General features: G+C 46.3%; 1 protein-coding gene and 1 pseudogene across 4 annotated transcripts in view, besides 3 other annotated features; one reads left to right on the forward strand and one right to left on the reverse strand.

Annotated features, from left to right (window-relative positions):
* TRABD2A (TraB domain containing 2A) overlaps positions 1-16945 on the reverse strand; it is a 59419-nt gene extending 42474 nt beyond the window's left edge. For all 4 annotated transcript variants that reach the window (NM_001080824.3, NM_001277053.2, NM_001307978.2 and 1 more), the window contains exons 1-2: positions 16793-16945; positions 6086-6646 (exon numbers count right to left, since the gene is read on the reverse strand). In NM_001080824.3, the coding sequence (NP_001074293.1) occupies positions 6086-6646; positions 16793-16900 (669 nt within the window). In that variant the 5' untranslated portion in view covers positions 16901-16945. The remainder of the gene's footprint in view (positions 1-6085; positions 6647-16792) is intronic.
* Positions 10388-10989, forward strand: RPL12P18 (ribosomal protein L12 pseudogene 18; annotated as a pseudogene).
* Positions 16187-16689: an enhancer, noted in NCBI's record as "H3K4me1 hESC enhancer chr2:85107450-85107952 (GRCh37/hg19 assembly coordinates)". NCBI's record gives its function as "activates a minimal SCP1, AML or CMV promoter by ChIP-STARR-seq in naive H9 embryonic stem cells {active_cell/tissue: H9 hESC(naive)}" and the evidence as "EXISTENCE:reporter gene assay evidence [ECO:0000049][PMID:30033119]".
* Positions 16690-17190: an enhancer, noted in NCBI's record as "H3K4me1 hESC enhancer chr2:85107953-85108453 (GRCh37/hg19 assembly coordinates)". NCBI's record gives its function as "activates a minimal SCP1, AML or CMV promoter by ChIP-STARR-seq in naive H9 embryonic stem cells {active_cell/tissue: H9 hESC(naive)}" and the evidence as "EXISTENCE:reporter gene assay evidence [ECO:0000049][PMID:30033119]".
* Positions 16920-17049: a silencer, noted in NCBI's record as "silent region_11688". NCBI's record gives its function as "represses an Ori minimal core promoter by ATAC-STARR-seq in GM12878 lymphoblastoid cells {active_cell/tissue: GM12878}" and the evidence as "EXISTENCE:reporter gene assay evidence [ECO:0000049][PMID:35858748]".

Raw genomic sequence — 24650 nt, forward strand, 5'->3', positions numbered from 1 at the left:
CTTCAGAAGAAGAATGTGTGTTCAGAATTCCGAGCTAAGGAATCCAGAGATTCATTCCTTGTCTATAAGGAACATGTGAACCCCTGGCCCATCCTGTGGAACATGGACCACACAAGGGATTGAGGCCCTTTGCTTTGAGTTAAATGAGGATTGCCATGTAGGAGCAGGTGCTAAGTGAAGGTGATTTATCAACTGCAGGCTTTTTGCAAGCGATTGGGATTCTCCTGTCCAGCCCACTGCCACTGGATCACCCTGTAAGTCAGTCCTCTCAATAAACCCTGTGTCTCATTTGCTGGCTCTGGGTCTCTTCTTCCGCCTTTTGAACCTAGTGCCATCCCCACTGAAGTCAATAGGGGTCCCGCATGACACTCAGAGGCAGAGTTGGATTAGAAACAGGAGATCTGAGAACCTAGGCCTGTCCTGCACTAACTCTTGCTGTGACCCCAGGCCAGCCCACCCTCTGCTTCCAGATGGGCCTCTCTCGGGTTAGTCCAGCAGGAAACCATCCCCAGTGACCTCTGCTGGCTGACCCCCCACAATCTTGCCTTGGCCTCTAGGAACAGAGACCTCCTAGCCCCAGGGGTTGTTCTTAAGACCCATGGCACTGATGTGAGAATATGCAGAAACCTGCAAAGTACAAAACAAGGCACCACATGGTATCCCCGGGATCCTCTCCTTAGGCCTGGCAGGCCACCCCATCCTCAAAGAATCTGACCCCTTCCTCCACAGGAGTCTTCCTCAGGCCATCTAGCACCTCCCCAGCTCCCACTCCTCCAGCATCCACCTAGCCCTTAATAACCACAGGCTGAGAGAGGTGGCATCCTTCTAGGAATTTCCCCTTCCTCCTCAGTCAGACCACAGGGCTCCTGGGGAGTGGGCTGCCTCAACCACTCCACTCTGCCCTGGACCTTTCCAGAGAATCATCCTGGAGCCATCTGTTTCTTCTATTAGGTGACCGACCAAACTAAAGACAACTTGCTCCCCATCTTCTCCAACACCCCAAAACTATAGCTCAAGAATTGCAGTTTCATACAATCTGGAAGTATGTCCACTGAGCCCAAACCACTATTGAATGTTGCATTGTGGGGAAAAAAAAAGAGAAAGTGAGTTGTTAGGGTCCTGAAGAACAAGAACTGGCAGTGACCATCCTCCTGGAAAGTACAAAAGAATGACAGCCAAAAAGGCAAATATGAAATATGTTAGTGCCATCTATTGGCAAGAGTAAACAATAACAAAGAAGTGATGCTTTGCACAGTAGCAATTCAAATAAGAGCACCTCAGCGTCAACTCTGGGGTTTGCAAAAGGAGTTTTACATCCAACTAACTGCCTCTTAGGATGTTGAAAGCCCAAAGATGCAGGCTTTGCATGTGGAAAGCAGAGGGAAACTCCAGAACTGTTGGCTACATTCATGTTCACTTAGGGATATGACAAGAAAGAGCCCAAGCCAAGATGTGACTGGGTCCCAAAGGACAGATTCCATGCTGAGGAGACCGGAGCTTTCCCAGATTCCTGCCCCACCCCACCACGACGTCCGATCACTTGGTGGGGAAGTGGACAGGAGAGTCCTATGCTTAGATGGGCAGAGCAGGCATTGCAATTCCCTATGCCCGGAGCCTGTCCATAGATGCCTGGTGATGTGTGAACATGGAGATGGGATTTAGCAAGACCATTTCTCTAGGGGAACCTACCTGTGCAGACAGAGAAGAAGTGAGACACCACCCTGCTGAGCCCACTCCGCTGAGCCTCCAGGTCCAAGCTATGTGCTTCCTTCACATAGGGAATGCCAATGCAGCTGGCAGTACCAAGCAGGCATGAACTTCAGGTGAAGGAGAACAGGAGTCATAACTTGATTCGATACCGAGGGGCAAGGATGATGTCTGCCCTGAGATGACAAGATCAAATCCAGGCATCCGTGTCAGGGTCCTAACCTGTTGCCAGACTTCAGTTAGATTCAGGGACTACACCCCACAAACCAAGAGCCACAAGGCCTACAGGGGCCAGGCAGATGAGTTAAAAGAAGTCAAGATGTCTAGGTGAAAGGTAACAGGGAGGAGTGGGGACTGCGGCCAAACTGGAAAGACAATATTGGCCACATCTAAAGGGGGCGGCCAGTGCTCAGTCCAGCCAACTGCTGCTATGTGGGAGCATGGCCCAAGAGAATCCAGGCTGTTCTCCATATGGTATTTCTCAATTTTTAAATATTGTCAACTTAGTCATTAAAAAAGAAAAAAAATCATGCTAACCACATAAAACAGAACTGCAAGTCGGATTCAGCCCATATGCCTCTTATTTGCAACCTCTGCTAGCCCTTCTGTTTTATGCTTCTGTCCTCTTTTCCTTTAACTTCTTTGAAAAAAAATCTTTGTCTATAGGAAACCAAGAAGAAAAACAATTTCCCTTTGCAAAATCAATGATACCACTCATCTTGAGAAGTTTGAGAGTTAAATATAAAATTATCAGTGAGGACTGTCTCATGGTAGGCACTGTATGTTCACTCCCTTCTGCTTATATCTTATTTATGAAGTGCTTTCCAATTTCCTGCTTTTTTTTTTTTTTTTGCTTCTGACAACAGGATGGTAGGGCAAGTATTATTATCCCCATTGGAAAGATGAGAAAACTAAAGTTTAGAGAAGTTAAGTGATGGTTGAAAGTCATACACTGAGGCCAGGTGTGGCGGCTCACGCCTGTAATCGCAGCACTTTGGGAGACTGAGGCAGGAAGATCGCTTGAGGCCAGAAGTTCAAGACTAGCCTGGCCAACATGGTGAAACTCCATCTCTACTAAAAATATAAAAATTAGCCAGGCGTGGTGGCGGGTGCCTGTAATCCCAGACAGGAGGATGACTTCAACCTGGGAGGCAGAGGCTGCAGTGAGCTGAGATCGTGCCATTACACTTCAGCCTGGGCAACAGAGTGAGACTCTGTCTCAAAAAAAAAAAGTCATTGGGCTGTATACTCAGGTTGTGAGTATTTTACTGTTTATCTCTAGAAATGAAACATGGGGAAGTTACATGAAAAAAAGACTTTTAAGAACAAGTCGTTTTCCTCCTGAATTTAAACAACTCTACCTTGCTAGCTTAACCTCAAGGTCTTATAAGAAATTTAGTTTATACATCTTAAACACCTACACAAACCCTAAGAATGTGTTATAAAATCAACATGACACTGTAGTCTATAATTATAGTGCTCTAAAATATCTCTGAAATATGTTATCTTAAGAGACAGTGTTGCTGGCTAGCCATATGTAGAAAGCTGAAACTGGATCCCTTACTTACACCTTATACAAAAATTAATTCAAGATGGATTAAAGACTTAAATGTTAGACCTAAAACCATAAAAACCCTACAAGCAAACCTAGGCAATACCATTCAGGACATAGGCATGGGCAAGGACTTCATGACTAAAACACCAAAAGCAATGGCAACAAAAGCCAAAATTGACAAATGGGATCTAATTAAACTAAAGAGCTTCTGCACAGCAAAAGAAACTACCATCAGAGTGAACAGGCAGCCTACAGAATGGGAGAAAATTTTTGCAATCTACTTATCTGACAAAGGGCTAATATCCAGAATCTACAAAGAACTCAAACAAATTTACAAGAAAAAAACAAACAACCCCATCACAAAGTGGGCAAAGGATATGAACAGACACTTCTCAAAGAAGACATTTTGGCAGCCAACAGACACATGAACAAATGCTCATCATCACTGGCCATCAGAGAAATGCAAATCAAAACCACAATGAGATATCATCTCACACCAGTTAGAATGGCAATCATTAAAAAGTCAGGAAACAACAGGTACTGGAGAGGATGTGGAGAAATAGGAACGCTTTTACACTGTTGGTGGGACTGTAAACTAGTTCAACCATTGTGGAAGACAGTGTGGCAATTCCTCAAGGATCTAGAACTAGAAATACCATTTGGCCCAGCCATGCCATTACTGGTTATATACCCAAAGGATTATAAATCATGCTGCTATAAAGGCACATGCATACACATGTTTATTGTGGCACTATCCACAATAGCAAAGACTTGGAACCAACCGAAATTGTCCATCAATGATAGACTGGATTAAGAAAATGGGGCACATATACGCCTTGGAATACTATGCAGCCATAAAAAAGGATGAGTTCATGTCCTTTGTAGGGACATGGATGAAGCTGGAAACCATCATTCTCAGCAAACTATCGCAAGGACAAAAAACCAAACACCGCATGTTCTCATTCACAGGTGGGAATTGAACAATGAGAACACTTGGACACAGGAAGGGGAACATCACACACCAGGGCCTGTCATGGGGTAGGGGGAGGGGGGAGGGATAGCATTATCCTCCCCCATTAACTAATGGTGCAGCTATTAACTAATTAACTAATTAGTTAATTAGTTAACTAGTTAATTAGTTAATTAACTAGTTAACTAATTAACATTAACTAATTAACTAATGGGTGCAGCACACCAATATGGCGCATGTATATATATGTAACAAACCTGCACGTTGTGCACATGTACCCTAGAACTTAAAGTATAAGAAAAAAAGAAAGAAAGGAAAAAAGAGACAGTGTTGCACACCTTCCTTCAAAGATACCTTGCTTGAGCTAATATTTTACTTCCAAGCTTTTTTTCCCCAATTGGGAGTATGAAAGAAGGCTTTGGCTCAGGTTAAAATGCTCACCAATTTCAAATTCATTCCGTCAAAATCAATAAGCCTTCAAATCAAAGCACCTTTCTTTTTCAAAATATTATATTAAATGCAGACATTGAAAAGGTTATAACATTGGCTCTTTGGGTTTCCATAATAATGCAAGAAAATCTTTCCCAGGAGATCAATGCAGACAATTAATGATCCCTTATCTTATCTATAAATCTTAGTGTGCCAAACAAATACTATAGCATATAGAATAGCATCGGATTACTTATTAATATTATAGAATTTTAGCAAGATAAATTCCCTAAAGATATCATTATCAACTCAGGAACATTATTTTTAGATTGTTACATGTCCTTACACCTTTTAAATAACAACCTTAGTTCAGTATGTCAAGATCTGCTAAGGCTGAGCTATTTGGATTAACAGTAATCTCAAATTCTGAGGAACAAAACCTCAACGTGACCCAATGAGAACATTTACAAAACAAGAACACTTTATTTCATATTGCAAGACTCCCATTGGTCTCCAGAAGTGTCTAATGCACTTTAAACAACTTTTATGGAAACAACTAAACCATGGCACTTTAATCAAGTATTACTTATGAGAATTGAAGAACCAACTTCTTGAACATCAAATTAAATTCCAATGCCCTGGGGTAGGATCCTTAAACCAGGGGTAAGAAGAGCATAACTCTGCCTAGGAAAGGAACTGTCCTGGGGCAGTGTCCTAAAGAGGGACAGTAGTGACCTCAAAGAGACTGCTGTCTCCTAAAGTAGCAATGGCCAGTATATTTTCAAACCAGGCCATGCCCTGTGACAACCAGTGTGGCATCCACATGTCCACAACGTCTCAAAGCAGCTTTTTAATGAAGGATCTGAACTAAGATGCATTTTAAAAGCACACAGTATGGGCCAGGCACAGTGGCTCACACCTGTAATCCCAGCACTTTGGGAGGCCGAGGCAGGCAGATCACTTGAGGTCAGGAGTTCGAGACCAGCCTGGCAACATGGCAAAACCTCGTCTCTACTAAAAATACAAAAAGTAGTCGGGCGTGGTAGCACACACCTGTAATCCCAGCTACTAGGGAGGCTGAGACAGGAGAAATGCTTGAACCCAGAGGGCAGAGGTTGCAGTGAACTGAGATCGCACCACTGCACTCCAGCCTGGGTGGAATGACTCTGTCCCAAAAAAAAAAAAAAAAAAGTACACAGTATTTGTTGGAATGATAAGAAAAAAACAAGTTTTTTTTCTTGGCAATACTCAAATAAGTGATATAACTGACCACTTGGCTTTTTTTTTAACCCCCGGAAAAGCATTTTTAAGCAAAGACAATTTCTAGACAAGCTGTGCCCGTGATCCATCACCTGCCCTGAAACTCAACAGATTCACCCATACAACCAAATGCCACTAAGTCTTTTATGCAAAGAGAGTCTTACCTGTGAAAAGTTCAACCCATTCAATGGATGGCACTGCTCTTCCACCTTTTCCACTGCCCCAGTCTGTTTCCTCAGCCGCTCAGCCTCCTGGGCAAGGAACAGGTCTAAGACAGGCACTCCACGGGACTTAATGTCCACTTCAGTCAGGGAGTTGACCATGAGCATCACCCAGACAGGCCTCTTGCGCTCCCAGTTTCCGGCAATAGCATTGAAGAGGTAGTCTGCGTAGAGCCCCTTGCCGCGCTGGTCTGGGGTCATCCACAAGGGCATCATGAGCTTGACATACTCCAGGTGGCGCTTGAGGCGGCAGTAGATGTCCCTGGGGAGCACATCTTGGAGGTTCTCGCCCTGTGGCAGCATCTGACAGCTGGTGAGAGCTGAGATGGTATAGGGGTCTGTGAGATCCAACTCAAAGTACACAATGCTGCTCTGCAGGAAAGCCTCCTTAGAGTTGTCGGGGATGAAGTCCCAAACTCGGGTGTACGGGACATGGATTGTGCCAAAGAAGTAAGATGGTGGGTCTCGCTTAATGGTCCACAAGAAGGAATTCAGCTCGCTTTGCTGAAAAGAAAAGAGGTAACATCAAGGTATAATATGGGGGAGAGGCATGGTCAGGAACCTGTGAGAGGAAATGAATCAGTCACATTTCAAGAGAAAAGATATCAAAGTAGAATTTAGACTTTTGAGTCCGTGTAGATTCACCTGCCAGGACAATCCATTGCCCTAAATAGACAGGAGCAAATTATGAAATCAGGGGCTCATTAGGACTCTAGTTTCAACCTTGGCTGTATGTTGGGATCACCAGCGGAGCTTTAAAAGAAGCATCTCTGAGTCCTACCTCCAGACATTCTGATCTGATTGGTCTGGGATGAGACTCAGCTTTTCAATCAAAAGGGGATGGGACCCCCTTTTCAATCAAAATGTTGATTCCAAGATGAGAAAGCAATAGCAGTCACCAGTTTTGAGATTGTGCCATGCCTGCCCTAGCAATGAACTGGGCAAGAGTTAAAGAAGTGAGTCTCAGGGGCCTCCAAGGATATACCTGATACCATCTAAGAGACACCTGAGAAGCCCACTGTCTCCCAGGCAGACCTGATGATCCCTGCTCTTTCAGATCTCAAAACCAACATCCCCAAAGGCAGAGGCTTCAACTCTAGCTATGCACTGGAATCACCCCCAAAGCTTTTGAAAGTCCAATGCCTGGGTCCCACCCCAGACCAATCACATCAGAATCTCTGGAGGTGGAACTCAGAAATGCTACTTTTTTTTTTTTTTGAGAAGGAGTCTCACTCTGTTGCCCAGGCTGGAGTGCAATGGCGCAATCCTGGCTCACTTCACTGCAACCTCAGCCTCCCGGATTCAAGCAATTCTCCTGCCTCAGCCTCCTGAGTAGCTGGGACTACTGGCACTCGCCACCACGCCCAGCTAATTTTTGTATTTTTAGTAGAGACGGGGTTTCACCATATTGGCCAGGCTGGTCTCAAACTCCTGACCTTGTGATCCGCCCACCTCAGCCTCCCAAAGTGCTGGAATTACAGGCGTGAGCCATTGCTCCGGCCACAGAGATGCTACTTTTAAAGCTCCCCTGGTGACCCCAATGTACCGCCAAGGTTGAAACTAGGGTCCTAATGAGCCTATGATTTTACAGTTTGCTCTTGTCCCTTTAGGACGTGGATCACACTTATTTCTCTCACAAAGCCTTCAGTTTCAATCACAGAGATCTGGATGATCTCTGCTGGATGGATTCTCTCCAAGCAGTTGCACATGCTGAGCAGCGGTGCATGTTCGTCTGAAGCCAGGCCATTTCACTCCTGGCCCCTGAGTGTCTCTCATCCTCAACAACTGGCATTTATAACATATCTGCTTATTAAGAGGCACTGTACAAAGAAGTGCAGTGCTCAAGGAATTAGGTGTAAATGGCAGACATACCAGTGACAAGAACAATGTATTAAGAAAGCCGGAAATGTGAAAATCTAGGGTTATAGAAAGACTATATATATTTCGGCCAGGCATGGTGACTCACACCTGTAATCCCAGTACTTTAGAGGCTGAGGCAGGCAGATCACTTGAGCTCAGGAGTTTGAGACCAGCCTGGGCAACACAGCAAAGCCCCATCTCTACAAAAAATACCAAAATTAGTCGGGCATGGTGGTGCATGCCTGTAGTCCCAGCTACTCAAGAGGCTGAGGTGGGAGGATTGCTTGAGCCCATCAGGTTGAGTCTGCAGATTGCACCACTGTGCTTCAGCCTGGGCAACAGAATGAGACTTTGTCTCAGAAAAAGAAAGAAAGAGAGAGAGAAGGAAGGACTAGAGGGAGGGAGGGAAGAAGGGAGGGAGAAAGAAATATTTGGAACATATTCCCTTTACTAAAGTATTTGACTTCAGCCTTTTAAGTAACATGCTTCCCTTGGATCATGAAGTTTCTATCTACAGGCAATTCTTATTATTCATGGTAGTTATATTTTATAAAGTTGCCACAAAATTAGCAAATACTAAACTGTTGTTCCTAGGGGAAACATAGGGTTAAGTTCTTGTTCATAACATTTTCATCAATTGATCAATACATAGCCTTGTTTTATGTGTGCTTCTACTGAAAGGCACCTTATTGGCCAGGCATAGTAGCTCACGCCTGTAATTCCAGCACTTCGGGAGGCCGAGGCGGGGGGATTGCCTGAGCTCAGGAGTTCGCGATCAGCCTGGGCAACATGGTGAAACCGTGTCTCTACTAAAATACAAAAAATTAGCCAGGTGTGGTGGCCTGCGCCTGTAGTCCCAGCTATTTGGGAGGCTGAGGCAGGAGAATTGCTTGAACCTAGGAGGTGGAGGTTGCAGTGAGCAGAGATAGCGCCACTGCACTCCAGCCTAGGGGACAGAGCGAGACTTCATCTCAAAAAAAAAAAAAAAAAAAATTTAGGCCGAGCGCAGTTGCTGACGCCTATAATCCCAGCACTTTGGGAGGCCGAGGAGGGTGGATCACTTGAGGTCAGGAGTTCAAGCCTGTCCAACATGATGAAACTCCACCTCTACTAAAAAGACAAAAATTAGCCGGACATGGTGGCAAGCGCCTGTAGTCCCAGCTACTCTACTTAGGAGGCTGAGGCAGGAGAATCGCTTGAACCGGGAGGCAGAGGTTTCAGTGAGCCAAGATCCCGCCACTGCACTCCAGCCTGGGCAACAGAGCAAGATGCTGTCTCAAAAAAGAAAAAAAAAAATTAAAAACCATTGATTGTTGAAGTAATATTAACAGATGAATCACGTACAGGGTCCCCATCCCCTAGGCATCCTCTTATGCAGTAATAAGGGCCCCTGAGGTTATTTAAATACTTCAAAAACGAAATGGAAACTGTACATCTACCAAGAACGCCTGCTAAGGCGAATTAAGCAATCAAATGTCTCACTGTTGGTTAGAATTAGATCAAAAGGGTAGAAGACACTGGGTAACTAAAATAGATGCTAATCAAAAGTTGAGATTGACAGTTATGTCTTTGGTTAATTGTAAACAGGTAAGAATTATTACCTACAAATAGGTAGAGGCAGCCTTCGAAGAGTAATTTTAGTTTATTTGTTCATTTAGAGGTCTGGTTCATGAAATGTCTGGGGACCACTGACCTATATAAGAGATCTAATTGCACAATGTCCAGGCAGTCTACCCAAGAACTTCTACATAGTTTCCAACTGGGAGACACAGCAAACAAGCTGAAATGTTATTATTAAACCCATGGACACCTGATTCATTGTCATCTATCAGGACACCATCATGTTAAACAAATATATTCCCAGGAAAATCAAACCCATACTGCAGGATAATGGAGGGGTGGGGTTCGTTTTGGTTTGGTTTTGGTTTGTTTTTATCCAATACACTTAATCTGCCTAAGGTCCCCATCCTACCTCAAAATACCTGCATTTCTCTTCAGAAGCAGTCTGTTCAGTATGCATCCATTTTCATTTTATTATTTATTTATTGTTGCCTTTTCAACTATTACTGGTCTAGAAATAAGGTCACTGTATGATCTTTTCACTGAAAACTGATTAAATTTAAAAACACACACACACGCACATACACGTCTGGCCTCTAGCCATGTAATGGCAGTACCGATGCTAACAGCAGCTGTTCACTGTGTGCCAGCCTCCACCCAAGCATTTCGCCTGGACTGTCCCACTGCCTGCATTCAACACAATTATTTCTGCTGAGCCTACCATGTGCCAGACACTGTTCTAGGCACAGAGAATACAACAGTGAGTGACACACAGTTCCCTGTTGGTGCCAATTGCTGTGGAGAACATGTAAGCTGGCTTTAAGTCTTTCAGCCTGGAGGAGGCCAAGATGTAACTTTCTTCCAGTGTCCCAAATCTGGGTTCATCTGACACCAGCCGACTTGACCATGCCACCTAAGTTGGACCCTAACAAGATCAAAGTCGTATACCTGAGTTGCACCGGGAGTGAAGTCAATGCCTCATCTGTGCTGGCCACCAAGATCAGCCCCCCTGCGTCTGTCTCCAAAAAAGGTTGGTGATGACATTGCCAAGCCAACCAGTGACTGGAGGGGTCTGAGGACTACAGTGAAACTGACCATTCAGAACAGAGAGGCCCAGATTGAGGTGGTACCTTCTGCTTCTGCCCTCGAAGCCTTCAAGGAACCACCAAGAAATAGAAAGAAACAGGAAAACATTAAACACAGTGGAAATATCACTTTTGATGAGGTCGTCAACGTTGCTCAACAGATGCATCACCAATCTTTAGCCAGAGAACTTTCTGGAACCATTAAAGAGATCCTGGGGACTTCCCAGTCTGTGGGCTGAATCTTGATGGCTGCCACACTCATGACATCAACAATGGTGCAGTGGAATGCCCAGCTAGTTAAGAAGCACAAAGGAAAACATTTCAATAAGGGATCATTTGACAGCAAAAACCACAAAAAGAACATGTAAGCCAGAAAAGGGACAGTGAGTACTGTGGCACAGGGTTGCAGGGGTGACTTTAAGTAGGGGGACCAGAAAAGTCACTGAATGTCTATAAAGACATCTAAGCCTTGCCGTGAAGGAGACGAGGGGCCCACTATGGGGATATCTAAGAGAAGAGCATTCCCTCCAGGAGGCAGAAACAGCATGCAAAGGCCCTGAGGCAGGGAGGGCCTCCATGTACTGGAAGACCAGCAAGGAGGCCAGCACGACAGAGAGGGATAGCTGAACAGAAAAGCAGGAGGCAGAGGTCAGAGAGGTGAGTGAGGTCAAGCCATGCAGGGTCGGTGGGCCTCTGGAAAGGCCCCAGGAAGGGCTCAGGCTTTCAACTGATTCAGATGGGAGCTAGCCCAGGTTTTTGAGAGAGGAGTGACATCAGCTGACAGTGTGTTCAAAGGCTCGCCCTGGAGGCTGGGATGAATAGAGGGATGAGGGCAGACACAAGTAGGTCAGTTAGGACATTACCAAAATAATCTGAGTGGGAGTGACAGGATTGATGGGAAGTGATCAAATTCCAGATGTAGTCTAGAAAACAGGATTTGCTGGCCAGCACGGTGCCTCATGCCTGTAATCCCAACACTTTGGGAAGCTTGAGCCCAAAAGTTTGAGATCAGCCTGGACAACATAGCAAGACCCTGTCTCTACAAAATATTTAAAAATTAGCCAGGCATGGTGGCAGGCACCTCCAGTCCCAGCTACTTAGGAGGTTGAGGTAGGAAGATGGTTTGAGCCTGGGAGGATGAGGCTGCAGTGAGCTATGATTGCACCACTGCACTCCTGCCTGGGCAACAGAGTGAGACCCTATCTCAAAATTAAAAAAAAAAAAAAAGGAAAGAAAACAGGACTTCCTGATGAAAGGATGAGGTTATCATTAACAGATATGGAGAAGGACGGGGGTGAAACAGGATTAGAGGGGAAGGTCAGAAATTTGGTTTTGGATCTGTCCAATTGACATGTCAAGCATACAACTTGTGCCAAGGTCCAGGTGGTAGGTGAATATGTAAGTCTGGAGCTTGGGAGAGGCCTGGGTCAGAGATGAAGATGAGGGCATCATCACCATGTAGATGTTCTTTAAAGCCATGGGACTAGACAAGGTCTCCAACAGGATGTCCACAGGAGAAAAGTTCTAGGAATAGACTCAGGGCCCTCTCACCCTAAGAAGTCTGGGGAAAGAAGAGCAGCTAGCAAGGGAGAATGAGAAGTGGCCAGCAAGGTTGCTGGGAAAATCAGAAGAGTAGGAGGCCGATTGAAGAAAGTACTTCAAGGAGCAGAAAGTAAGCAAGCGGGTTAAATGTGGATGGTAGGCCAAATAAATCAAGAATTTGAGAACTGACCTCTGGATTGAGCAACACTGAAGTCACTAGGGACTCAGACAAGAACAGTTTTAGTGGTGTGGTGGGAGCAAAAATATGCCCCATGCTAAGTGGTGGACAGGTAGGCTGACTCCTGAGTCCAAGCTTTTAAACGCCATATTTATGCAGCCTTAACATGCAATAGACTTTACCTCTGATTCAGAGTCATATCTTTTTTCAGTTAATACCCTGCTAGTTGTATTGTTGCTGAGGAGCACCACCTGATTCCAAATCTAGAAAGGCTCTGTCCAGCTCATCTTCCCGATCCCAGATGATTGCCCAGATAAACCACACTGACCTTGTTACATCCTCAGGTGCCACCTTTCCCATTTTCTCTTTTCAAGTTAACACAGCTCAGGGGCTTTTCTGCTTTTTTATGCCAAGGGCTGTATCTTATTCACCTTCATATCCCCAAATACTGAAATACTTGCCATATACTACTACATAGGAGCTCAAAAAGAGTTTTTTAAAGAAATGAATCTTATCTTGTACAATTTCTTCAATACCTACAGATCTGTTCTGACCAAAGGGCACCCGGATTCCCACTGTGTGCACCAATAACCATTCCTGTGGAACACTGATCCTGCCCTACCAGACATGTCTTCAGCAGGGCACAGGCTGAAAGAAGAGTCTTCAGGACTCTTCTTTACCTTACTTTGCCCACTGGCGAGCCCCCGGACCCTTGCACTTACTGTACTGGTGCAACTGCCTCTGCCTCTCTCATACTGATATCCTCAGGGTAGGGCTATTTATCTCTACAAAAAAAAAAAATCCTTCACTACCCCATTTCACTGTTAAAATATATGGCAATTAGAAGAAGCCATAGATTTTAACATTAGGGTGGTTTAAAAGAAAAAAAAACTGAACCACGATTAACATGTCCCTTCTAACTTGTTGCAACTGTTCCCAGAAGGAAAAGACAACCGGGCATGGTGGCTCATGCCTGTAATCCCAAGACTTTGGGAAGCTGAGGCAGGAGGACCATTTGAGGCCTGGAGTTGAAGGTTACAATGAGCTATGATCACGACACTGCCCTCCATCCTGGGTGACAGAGCAGGACTGTGTCTCAAAAAAGAAAAAAGAGAGAGAGAAAACATGGCCATGGGTGACTGAGACACAGAAGCTACAAGCTTCTGAATCAAACTGAGATTTTAACAGACACCTGTGTAGTCCATCCAGTGAAAAAGAACAAGGCACAATGACAACTGCATATTGCAAGCTAACTCCGTAACACCCAGCACACCCTCAGCTCCTCCCATCCTAGCATCCCTGGACCTGCAATAACTGCACTTTTCCAAGATTACTCTTCAGCAGACCAGCCACAATGAAGCTGGCTTTACATTATCCTTTTCATTCAACAAATATTTTTTGAGCATCTGCTATGGCAAGGCACTCTTCTGGATACTGGGGATGCAGAAGCAAACAAAACAGACAAAAATCCCTACCCTTATGAAGATGACATAGGGGAAGGGGCAGCAATAAACAAAAATTTTTATCAGATGGTGATTAAGTGCTATAAATAAAAATAAAGCAGGGAAGGCAGATGGTAGTGGTGGCAGCAGTTGATGTCACCTTTACGAGAGTAATCAGGAAGAAACTCATTGAGAGACGCTTGAGCCAAAGCCAGATGGAGGTAAGGGAGCAAGCCTGTGGATAAATGAGGGGAGAATTTCCCAGGGGGAAGAAAGAGCAAGTATAAAAGGCATCAGGCTGGACACGGTGGCTCACGCCTATAATCCCAGCACTTTGGGAGGCTGAGGCGGGTGGATCATGAGGTCAGGAGTTCGAGACCAGCCTGCTCAAGATAGTGGAACCCCATCTCTACTAAAAATACAAAAATTAGCCGGGCTTGGTGGTGGGCGCCTGTAATCCCAGCTGCTCAGGAGGCTGAGGCAGGAGAATCACTTGAACCCTGGAGGCAGAGGTTGCAGTGAGCCAATGTAGCATCACTGCACTCTAGCCTGGGTGACAGATAGAGCAAGACTCTGTCTCAAAAAAAAAAAAAAGGCAGCAGGCAGGAATAGGAAAGAACACTAAGAGTTCTGTTTGACAAGAAAGAGACTCAACCTGCGTGGTGCTCAGGGTAAACCCTGCAGTGTCTAGGGGCCAATTTGGGCTCAGAAGACCTCTCTAATGATTAACCAACCATGAAAACCAAACCAGCTCTCAAGGCTACAGTCCTGCAGAATCCTATAGGGGCTGCTGCACTGGATTGGAGGCTGGATCCCAGGACTTCCACTCTAGAATCTCAAGACCCCAACCCACTGAGGAACCCAACCACAATGCCCTTACAGCATGTGGGTCAGACATACAGCATGTGTGCCGCTGATTGGCCTTCCCAATTCCGCAGGGGGTAAGACAGAGTTTGCCCACAGAATAGAACAGCAATTCTCAAAGTATGGTCCAGGGACCTGTGGGTGTCCCCAAGAGCCTTTCAGGGAGTCTATAAGGTCAAAACTGTTTTTATAAAACTAAGATATTTTCCTTTCACCCTCATTTTCTCACAAGGTACTGTAGAATTTTCTGGAGGCTACATGTGTGTGATGAGGTCACTGCTCTGATGGCTAATGGAATGTGTGCTATGTTGTGTTTTACTACTATCTCCATTAATTCACATAAAGTAAAAGTCTTTGAGGTTTTCAATACTTTTTTTTTTTTTTTTTTGGATATAGGGTCTCGCTCTTTCACCCAAGCTGGAGTGCAGTGGCACAATCACACCTCACTGGCCTCCACTCCCAGGCTCAAGGTTTCCTTCCACCTCAGTCTCTGGAGTAGCTGGGACTGCAGGCACATGTCCCCACGCTGGTAATTTTTTTTATTTTTTTGTAGAGACAAGGGTCTCGCCATGTTGGCCAGGCTGGTCTGCAACTCCTGGGCTCAAGTGATCCACCGCCTTGGCCTCCCAAAGTGCTGGGATTACAGGAGTGAGCTACCATGCCGGGCTTCTTTGATAATTTTTTGTAACGTAAAGGAGTCCTGAGACCAAAAGGTAGGACGATGGAATAAAGGACTCATAAAGACAGATTCTAAAGGAGAGAGATCTTATCCAGACTCACTCGTCATAATTACCAGTCGGTAATAGGTTTTGCAGAAGTGAAAGGCAATGTGCTTTCTTGTGAGGAGATGGACTCCTGCCTTGTCTAACAAGCATGAAGCGGCCACACCGCAACAGAGTTTGAAACCATGCCTGGTGCAGACTCCCCTCTCCAGCTGCCGCGCCTCCTGCCTTGGTAGAGGGCCGTCCGCAGCCCCGCGACGCCTTACAGAGGCGAACACCGTGCGTCTTCCCAGCCCGGAGCTCCAGGATCGGCTCTATTTGGCCGTCCTCTGCTTTGCTGCAGTTGGGATGAGGAATAAAATTGCGAATGGCCAGGGGTGGAGGCAGACCGGGGAGCTGCGCAGGTGTCATCAAAGGTGGGCCTCTAAATTCCAGCCCCCACTCCCTCAACCCACCCCCAACCCCCCCCACCCCCGCGTCGCGGGCGCACCAGAAGGATAAGCCTGGCATGGCCCTCTCCAGAGCCAGGGACGCACAGATATCAAACCCACCGGAACAAATGCGCGAAATTCAACCTATGCCGCACTCAGAAGAGAGGGACTCGAGAACCACAGAAAATTCTGAGTGTAGGAAAACTGATCAGAGAAGGAAATATTCATCTCGAAAGAGGTCCAGCCTCGGAGACGCAAGACCTGTCCGCTATAGAGCTGTGTTGACTCGGGCAGGTCACTGAGCCTCCCTTGCCTGGGTTTCCCTCACCCACAAAACGTTGATGCGAACATCTAAAGCGCCCGGCTGGACACGCAAGGCTCGGACAGTGGTCACTCCGCGAACGCACTCTGTGACCTGGAGCACACAGGTCCCCCGCTGAGTGTCAGTTTCCCAGATCGGTAAAAACAAGGGAAATGGCTTCAACTCCCTAAAGTCCCTTCTAACTCAGGCACTGAACATATGAAGGTTAAGCCAAGCAGCTTCAGGGCGCTGTTAATATTTTGATAAGAGCAGGTGAAATTAAACTCTTAAGGAAGAGAGGGAAGAAGAAACTTCAAATAAATGTGCCCAAGTTCCTGGTCCGGTACTCCCTGGCGGATCCGTCCCCCGAAAGCTCGCGAAAATGGCTGGCGAGACCCCAGAGGCTCTCTCGGACGCCCTTGGGCTGGCGGAGGGCAAAGGCCAGGGCACTGAGTCGCTTGGAGCCTGCGGGCTGCGCCCCCGCGGGAAAGGGGAACCCGAGGGCACGGAGAGGAGAGCGAGCAAGGAGCGCCGCGGTGCTAGGTGAAAGCCCAGCCGCGGAAGTCGGCTCGGGGTCCGAAAGCGCTGCTTCGCGGGGTTCGGAGGGAAACCATCCCAAGGAGGTGCAGAGAGGCCGGCTCTCCAGCACCCGACGCGCGCCTTACTTGGGGCTTGAGCTCGCAGTTGGCGGTGCCGGGCGCCCCGCGCCGCGAAGCTGCGCCCGTGGGCAGGAGGCAGAGGGTCTGCAGCAGGAACCAGCTCCAGGGACTCATCCTCCTCAAGGCGGCTCCGAGGCCCGGAACGCGGAGGGAAGGAGTAGGGCAGAGGTGGCCGCCCGCCCTGGCTAGCCGGGGCCGCGGGGCGCCTCCGGGCGGGGCTGGGGTGAGCCCGGCAGCAGCGGCCACGTGGGGCCGGGCCTCGACCTCCCTCCCCCCACCCCACCCCCGCAGGTCAGCCCCGCGCCTAGGCGGCAGCGGAGTCCCGAACCGCGTTTCTCCCGCCCAAACCCTGCCGGGGCCGCCGCCCACCTCGTGTGACCGCAAGAGGGGTAAAGTGAAGTTCCAGCGCTGTCCTAAATTCAACCTAAAATCGCATTGGTTCCTGCGTTTACGTCTGTGCTTATGCTGCCGATTGTGAGGGGAGGGTGCCTCTTGATTGAAAGAGGCAGACAAAATAAACAAATGAAAGGCTATCTATAAAGGAAAGTTCATTTAAACAAAGGAAATCTCACGGAAGTTTTGAATGTAAAAGAGAGAGGGGAATGGTCAGTGTGTGCATCCACTGAAAATCCAGGACCACAAAAGCTGGCACTCCATTAAGAGCCCTCTTAATGGATTTTTAGGAATAATATTAAGGATGTTAACACCGAACTCAGAGGATTGCCGCAAGGATTAAAAGAGGAAATTTATGAGAAACACCTTGATTGGCACACATAGCAAGCCTGCAAACTGCAGTCGCTCCCTTTCGGCTCCAAAACCCCACTGAGGATTTTTCACAGCATTGGTCCATCAGGAAGAAAAAAAAATTATGAAAGCAAGTAGCTGTGCCCCGCCTGCCGCACCTCCTACCCATGCCTGAGCGCACTTTACCACCACCTTTTAAAGTCCAGACGTCTGCGCCATTAACTTCGGAGTGGTGTTCGCAGGAGCATTTGTCGCAGTGGTCTTTAATTGCTTTAAGTCGCTGTCCATTTTGAGAATCTGATAACTGGACGATCTCCCAGGGAAAAAGAAAAGGGGGGGGGCAGATTTGCATACAATGCGGGGAGAGGTTTTCTGAAGCCCATTTCCAACTTTCCCGTAAAGAACCCCTGGCTTTGAAGAGCCAAGTCTTTCGAGATTTAACTCCACCAACATTTAGAGTTCAGATGTTTTTGTAAAATCGCTTTTTTCTAAGTTTGAGTGGGGATTTGCTTTCTGGAATTGACTGTCTCCTGTCTTCAGATGACTGCCCCGTGTCAGCCCGGCGGCAATCGTTAGTCTCCGGGCCAACCCAGGACGATGCTTTTTGGCGTTTTCAGGCACCAGCGCTGCCACCTGCTGGCAAAAACTTTCTCTTTCGGTTGTGAGGGGGAAAAGCAAAAAGCATCAAGAACGTAAGTTGCCCTGAGCTAAGATCGAACCACTGCACTCCAGCCTGGGCCACAAAGTGAGACCCTGTCTCTTATTTAAAATAAAACAAAACAAAACAAAACAAAAAACTCAAAAGGATGTAATTACCTATTATTTCATGTTATCTCTCCCACTCCAAATGAATCAATCCGTGTGGCCACAGAGAAGCCCGCCCAGCTTCTCTCTGAGCTGGGCTTCTCTCTGGCCACACAAAACATGGCTGAATTTGTTTATTTTCTCCTGTTGTTTGTCTCTCTTTTATTTCGTTGGTTTCTGCTCTTATCTTTGTTATTTCCTTCTGTTTGTTTACTTTTGGGTTTACTTTGCTTTTTTTCTGGATTCTTAAGGTGGTACCTTAAGTCATTGACTTTAAGTCTTCTTGCTTTTGTAATATAAGCATTTAAAGTTATAAATTTCCCTATAAGCACTGCTTTAGCTACATCACCCAAATTTTGAAAAACTGTATTTCATTATCTTTCATTATCTACTTTCCCTGGTGATTTTCTTCTTTGCCCGTGGATTATTTAGAAGTAGGTTGATTGATTTCCAAACTATGGAATTGTCCTAAATATTAGGTTGGTGCAAAAGTAATTGTGGTTTTTGCAATATCAACAGATTTATAATCCAATTCTGTTGTAAACAGAAAACATACTCTGTATGATTTTGATTATTTTGAATTTATTGGGACTTGTTTTATGGCTCAGCATATGGTCAGATACTGAGTATGAAATATCATATCCATATCCAAAGTACCTAGATAATTTTGTTTGATTCTGACAGTTTTTAAATGAAGTGTTTTTTTTGTTGCTGTTGTTGCTTTGTTTCGTTTTGTTTTTTCTCTTAGCCAGACCCATCATCAAGTAGGATTTATTCTGTAAGACACTCAGTGTCCGAATATTCTATAGAATCACATCTACTCTACTTACATGTTTCCACAGACATTCCTAAGTTCACTATCATCCCACAGTGCTGACCCAGACCTGGTGACAGGCTGACATGGCCTGGTCCTCACTTGCCTTATACAGACATCTGGGTTGCAGGCCTTTCTGCCTTTCCCTTCCTGGTTAGGAAGGAGATGTTAAATGTACCCATGTCCTCCTCTCTGCTTATCTGCCGAGTTTCTGTATCAAGTTTAGCTCCTTAACTTCAGCTTTGTTACTGGATCATACCTCTGGCTGCCCATTGCCAGAGCCCTGAATTGCTTCTGAACCTTCCCTGGTCCTTTCTCTTTCCCCTTTCATGTATGGTTGATATCCTTGGCAACCCTCCCATATTAGTCCATTTTGTGCTGCTATAGAAGAATACCACAGACTGGGTCATTTATAAAGAACAGAAATGTATTTCCTTACAGTTCTGGAGGCTGGAAAATCTGAGATCAAGGTGCCTAGCATCTGGCAAGGGCCTCCTTACTGCATCATCCCACTGTGGAAGGTGAGAGCACAAGAGAGTGAGAAAGAGAGAAAAATCGAGATTGAGAGCTAAAGTCATCCTCAAGCCATTCATGAGGTCATGAGGGTAAAGCCCTCCCATGATGTCCCAGCTCCCAACACTGTTGCATTAGGGATTAAGTTTCCAACATATGCTTTTGGAGGACACCTTCAAAGTATAGCATCCGCTTAGGTCCATCTACTCTTAAGTGCTTCTTTTGTGCCCCTAGTAATGACTTTCTGAATTTACACAAACCTGTGAGGCTTGTCCCCTTCATAGCAGTACCTGAGAAAATTATACTGCTGATACCTTTTTGCTCTTTCCCCAAAATCAGATTTACCCTCAAAAATAAAGTTTTCAGAGTATGCAGAGGATTTGCTATGGCTTCAGCAACACTCTGTGCCTTCACCCTGCCTTTTTCTACCTGGCTTGGCTGACCTGCAGTCATCCACAGATTTCCAGAGGTGATCGGGACATCAGAGGTGTGGTGGCAGTTCCCCTTGATTCTGCCTCCTGATATTCACACTTATGTTTCATACCCTGTCCTTTATTGTAACCAGAACCTGAGACTTGCTTCTAACAATGAAATACGGCAAAGGTCATGGGCAGTGCTGTGATTACTTGTACATGACTACATAAACATGTACTGCTAGTCTTGCTAAAGTCTCTCTCTCCATTGCTATCTTTCCCAGCCTCCAGAACTGTAAGGAAATGCATTCTGTTACTTATAAATGACCCAGTCTGTGCTATTCTTCTATAGCAGCACAAAATGGACTAATATGGGAGAGTTGCCAAGAATATCAACCATACATGAAAGGGGAAAGAGAAAGGACTAGGGGAAGGTTCAGAAGCAGTGAAAATCTCTCTCTCCATTGCTAAGCAAGTTGCCATGAGACCTACAGAATTCATGAAGACATGAATTCTGCCAACAACCTAAGAGAGCTCAGGAGCAGATCCCTCTCCAGTTGAGCCTCCAATGAAAATCCAGTCCTAGCCAACAACACCCTGACTGTAGCCTTGTGAGACCCTAAGCAGAGGACTCAATTAAGCTCTGTCTACACTCCTGATCCAAAGCAACTGGGAAAATAAATGTGTGCTGTTTTAAGCCACCAGGTTTGTGGTAATTTGTTGCAGCAGCAATAGATAACTAATACACCAGGGGAAGTGGGATGCTAAGCACATTCCCAGGAGTTCCAGCATGGTGCTCGGCCAGCAGGCTGTGTCCGTCCTCAAGGTGAGCAGTTGAAGACCTAAGTTGATGGAGGTGTGGAAACACCTACTCCCTCCACTGCCAGGTGTGCAGGCTCCGTGCATTCTTGGAAAGGGGCTGAATGTTGCCACACTCCCTCGCCCACCCAGTGTTGGCACAAGAATTTCTAAGTAGGAAAGAGTGGCAAGTATGCCAAAGCTGCATTTGCTTTGCAGCACACTGCTTGTACCAGATTGTGAAAAAGAGAAAACATCCCTGGACAGCTGGGAACTGGTCTGGTTTTATCAGTCAGGCCTTGGTGTTGCTACAAGCTGGCCTGGCACTCACAGCTAAGCCATGGTGTTCTCCTGTTGAACATAAACAACTTCACAGAGCATCAACATCAGACAAGGCCACTCTGTGATGAATGAAGATGAAAGCAAAACCCCTCCATAATCACATCTCAACACAGACAAAACATGAACATTGGCCAAGTCACAAGAAAGGGTGTCCAGTCATCCGCCTCTTCTGACTAAGGAGTGATGGCTGCTCCTTTACCAAGGCCAGTTTTCACCTCCATTCATTTCTCCCACCTCATAGATGAGATACGTTAAGATTCTATTTGGGGATAAATTAAGATCCCCCAAAATTCATACATTAATCCCCTAACCCCTAGTGCTTCAGAATGTGACTGTATTTGAAGATAAAGTCTTTAAATCGATGATTAAGTTAAAATTAGGCTGTAAGGATGGGCCCTAATCCAATCTGACTGGTGTCCTTATAAAAAGAGGAAATTTGTGCCAAGTATGGTGGCTCATACCTGTAATCATAGCACTCTGGGAGGCCAAGGCAGAAAGATGGCTTGAGCCCAGGAGTTCGAGATCAGCTTGGGCAACAAAGGGAGACACTGTCTCTACAAAAAAAAAAAAAAAAAAAATTAGCCTGGCATGGTAGTGCATGAATGAGGTCCCAGCTACTCAGGAGGCTGAGGCTGGAGGATCCCTTGTGCCTGGGAGATCAAGACTGGAGTGAACCATGGTCTCCACTGTACTTCAGCCTGTGCAGCAGAGTGAGGCCCTGTCTCAAAAAAAAAAGAAGAGAACAGCACGGACTGCATACACAGAGGGGCAACCATGTGAGTAACACAGAAAGAAGGCAGTCATCTGCAAGCCAAGGAGCGAGGCCTCGGAGAAGAGACCTGCCAACACTTTGATCTCAGACTTGCAGCATCCAGAACTGTAAGAAAATAAACTTCTGGGCTGGGCACGGTGGCTCACACCTGTAATCCCAGCACTTTAGGAGCCCAAGGCAGGCAGATCACCTGAGGTCAGGAGTTGGAGACCAGCCTGGCCAAAATGGTGAAACCCCGTCTCTACTAAAAATACAAAAATTAGCCAGGTGTGGTGGCATGCACCTGTAATCTCAGCTACTCAGGAGGCTGAGGCAGGAGAATCACTTGAACCCAGCAGGCAGAGGTTATAGTGAGCCGAGATTGCACCACTGCACTCCAGCCTGGGCAACAGAGCAAGGCTCTGTCTCAAAAAAAGAAAAGAAATGTCTGTGTTTAAGCCACCCAGTCTGGGGTATTTTTTATGGCATCCCAAGCTGACTAATACTTGATAGCACCCAACCCAGAGCAAAGCCCCACTTCCTTGAACTCTCCCCCAAATCACCTGACAAGTCCAAATCCTATAACAAGCCCTCCTAACACCTTCTTCCTGATATGCCCTACAATTCCCCAAAATATGAGAAAATTTGGACACACAAAAGACACACATCAAGAGAATTCTCCCTCATCGCAAAGAGCAATAAATCCAACTAATGCAATTTCAAGTGTGTCCCTGGTGGTCTATGGCTGAAGGGCATTGATCATTGTATGTCTACTTAGAGTGACGTTGGCCAGCCCCCATGCCATCCTTGTGCTTCCACTGGTCTCCTGCCCCTCCCCGCCCTGCATATGTGTCACATGGTGACACTATGCTAGGTGAATGCTCACTTGCTCCTAGAAGCCGGGTGCAATGCTGGTGCCTGTACAAAGGAGTCCTGACAGAAAGAGCTTCATAATATGTCGAGATGAACTGGGGCCTCCCAGGAGGGCACAGGAAAAACAATGGGTGGTCACTGTTCAGCTAGCTTCAGGTTTTTGCCTCGCTATTTGGGAGACACCAGCAGAAGGAAAGAGCTGAATTGCTGGACATTGGAAGAAAAAGGGTTTTTTTTACCAGAGAGGGGCAGAAGGGTGAAGAAGCTAGAGGCAAGGAGACTGGAGACACCCATTAAGGGGAAAGACAGCAGAGATGTTGACAAGGGGGTTTTGTGATGGCTTACTGTTGAAAATTTTCAAGAAATTTCCAGTGATATTTAAATTACACACCATTCCTTTAGAGGTGGGTTTTAGATCTCTGACAGTTGGCATAAGGTTTCACTGTGGGCACAGAGAAGAGAGAAGGCCTTCCACAGGGGGCCCAGCAACACACGAGTGACAATGAGCTAAACATTTAGTTTTCACTATGAGTAAACAAGTAAACAAAACTAGGAATTTTTTCTAAAAGTGGCCTGAATGATCGGTGAGTTCTTACAAGGCAGGGGAGTGATTGTTCTATAAAACCTTTAAAAGCTCTAACTTGCAGCCAGGCACGGTGGCTCACGCCTGTAATCCCAGCACTTTGGGAGGCCGAGGTGGGTGGATCACCTGAGGTCAGGAGTTTGAGACAAGCCTGGCCAACATGGTGAAACCACATCTCTACTAAAAATACAAAAATTAGCCGGGCATATTGGCTCATGCCGGGTAGTCCCAGCTACCCGGGAGGCTGAGGCGGGAGAATTGCTTGAACCCAGGAGGCAGAGGTTGTGGTAAGCCAAGATCATGCCATTGCACTCCAGCCTGGGTGATGGAGTGAGACTCTGTCCCAAAAAAAAAAAAGCTCTAACTTGCTATCCAATGCATACCCTGCATCTTTTCTAGAAACTGCTTCATTCATTTATGCAACACCCTTATCGAATACCTGAACAGTTCAGTGCCAAGTGAGGGTTTATACAGATGACTGTGGCTGGGTGCAGTGGCTCCCGCCTATAATTCCAATGCTTTGGGAGGCCGAGGCGGGCAGATCCCCTGAGGTCAGTAGTTCGAGACCAGCCTGGCCAACATGGTGAAACCCCGTCTCCACTAAAATTACAAAAATTGGCAGGGCGTGGTGGCATATGCCTGCAGTCCCAGCTACTCAGGAGGCTGAGGCAGGAGAATCGCTTGAACCCAGGAGGCAGAGGTTTCAGTGAGCCGAGATCACGCCACTGTACTCCAGCCTGGGCAACAGAGTGAGACTCTATCTCAAAAAAAAAAAAAAAAAAAAGTGACTGTGACAGGCATGACTCCTGGCCCCACGGAGCTTTCTATCAAGAGCTGTTATTGCTGGTTGCACATTAGAATCATCTGGAGAGCTTTTACAATGACCAAAACCTGGGCCTCACCCTGATTAACTAACTCAGCATTTCTGGGGGGGTGTGGCCCCAGCATCAGCATCCTTAAAGCTGCCCTGGCATTTCTAATATGCAGCCAAGATTGAGAGACAGAAATTTCACAAAAAGGAAATTACAGGATGGTAGTGTGGGTGGTGTGATGAGGGTCCATGACAGCCCATGACCCCACCGTCATTCTAGGGAGAGTTTCTACAGGAATGTCAACTAAACAGAAACCTCAGATCTGAGTAAGAGTTAACCAGAAAGCAGCATTCCAGTGAGAAAGAACAGCAGAGACAAAGGCCTTGAGGCATGAGAGAGAGTTGGCTGTGTTCATGG

This window comes from Homo sapiens, chromosome 2 (genome assembly GCF_000001405.40).
Source record: "Homo sapiens chromosome 2, GRCh38.p14 Primary Assembly".
NCBI lineage: Eukaryota > Metazoa > Chordata > Mammalia > Primates > Hominidae > Homo > Homo sapiens.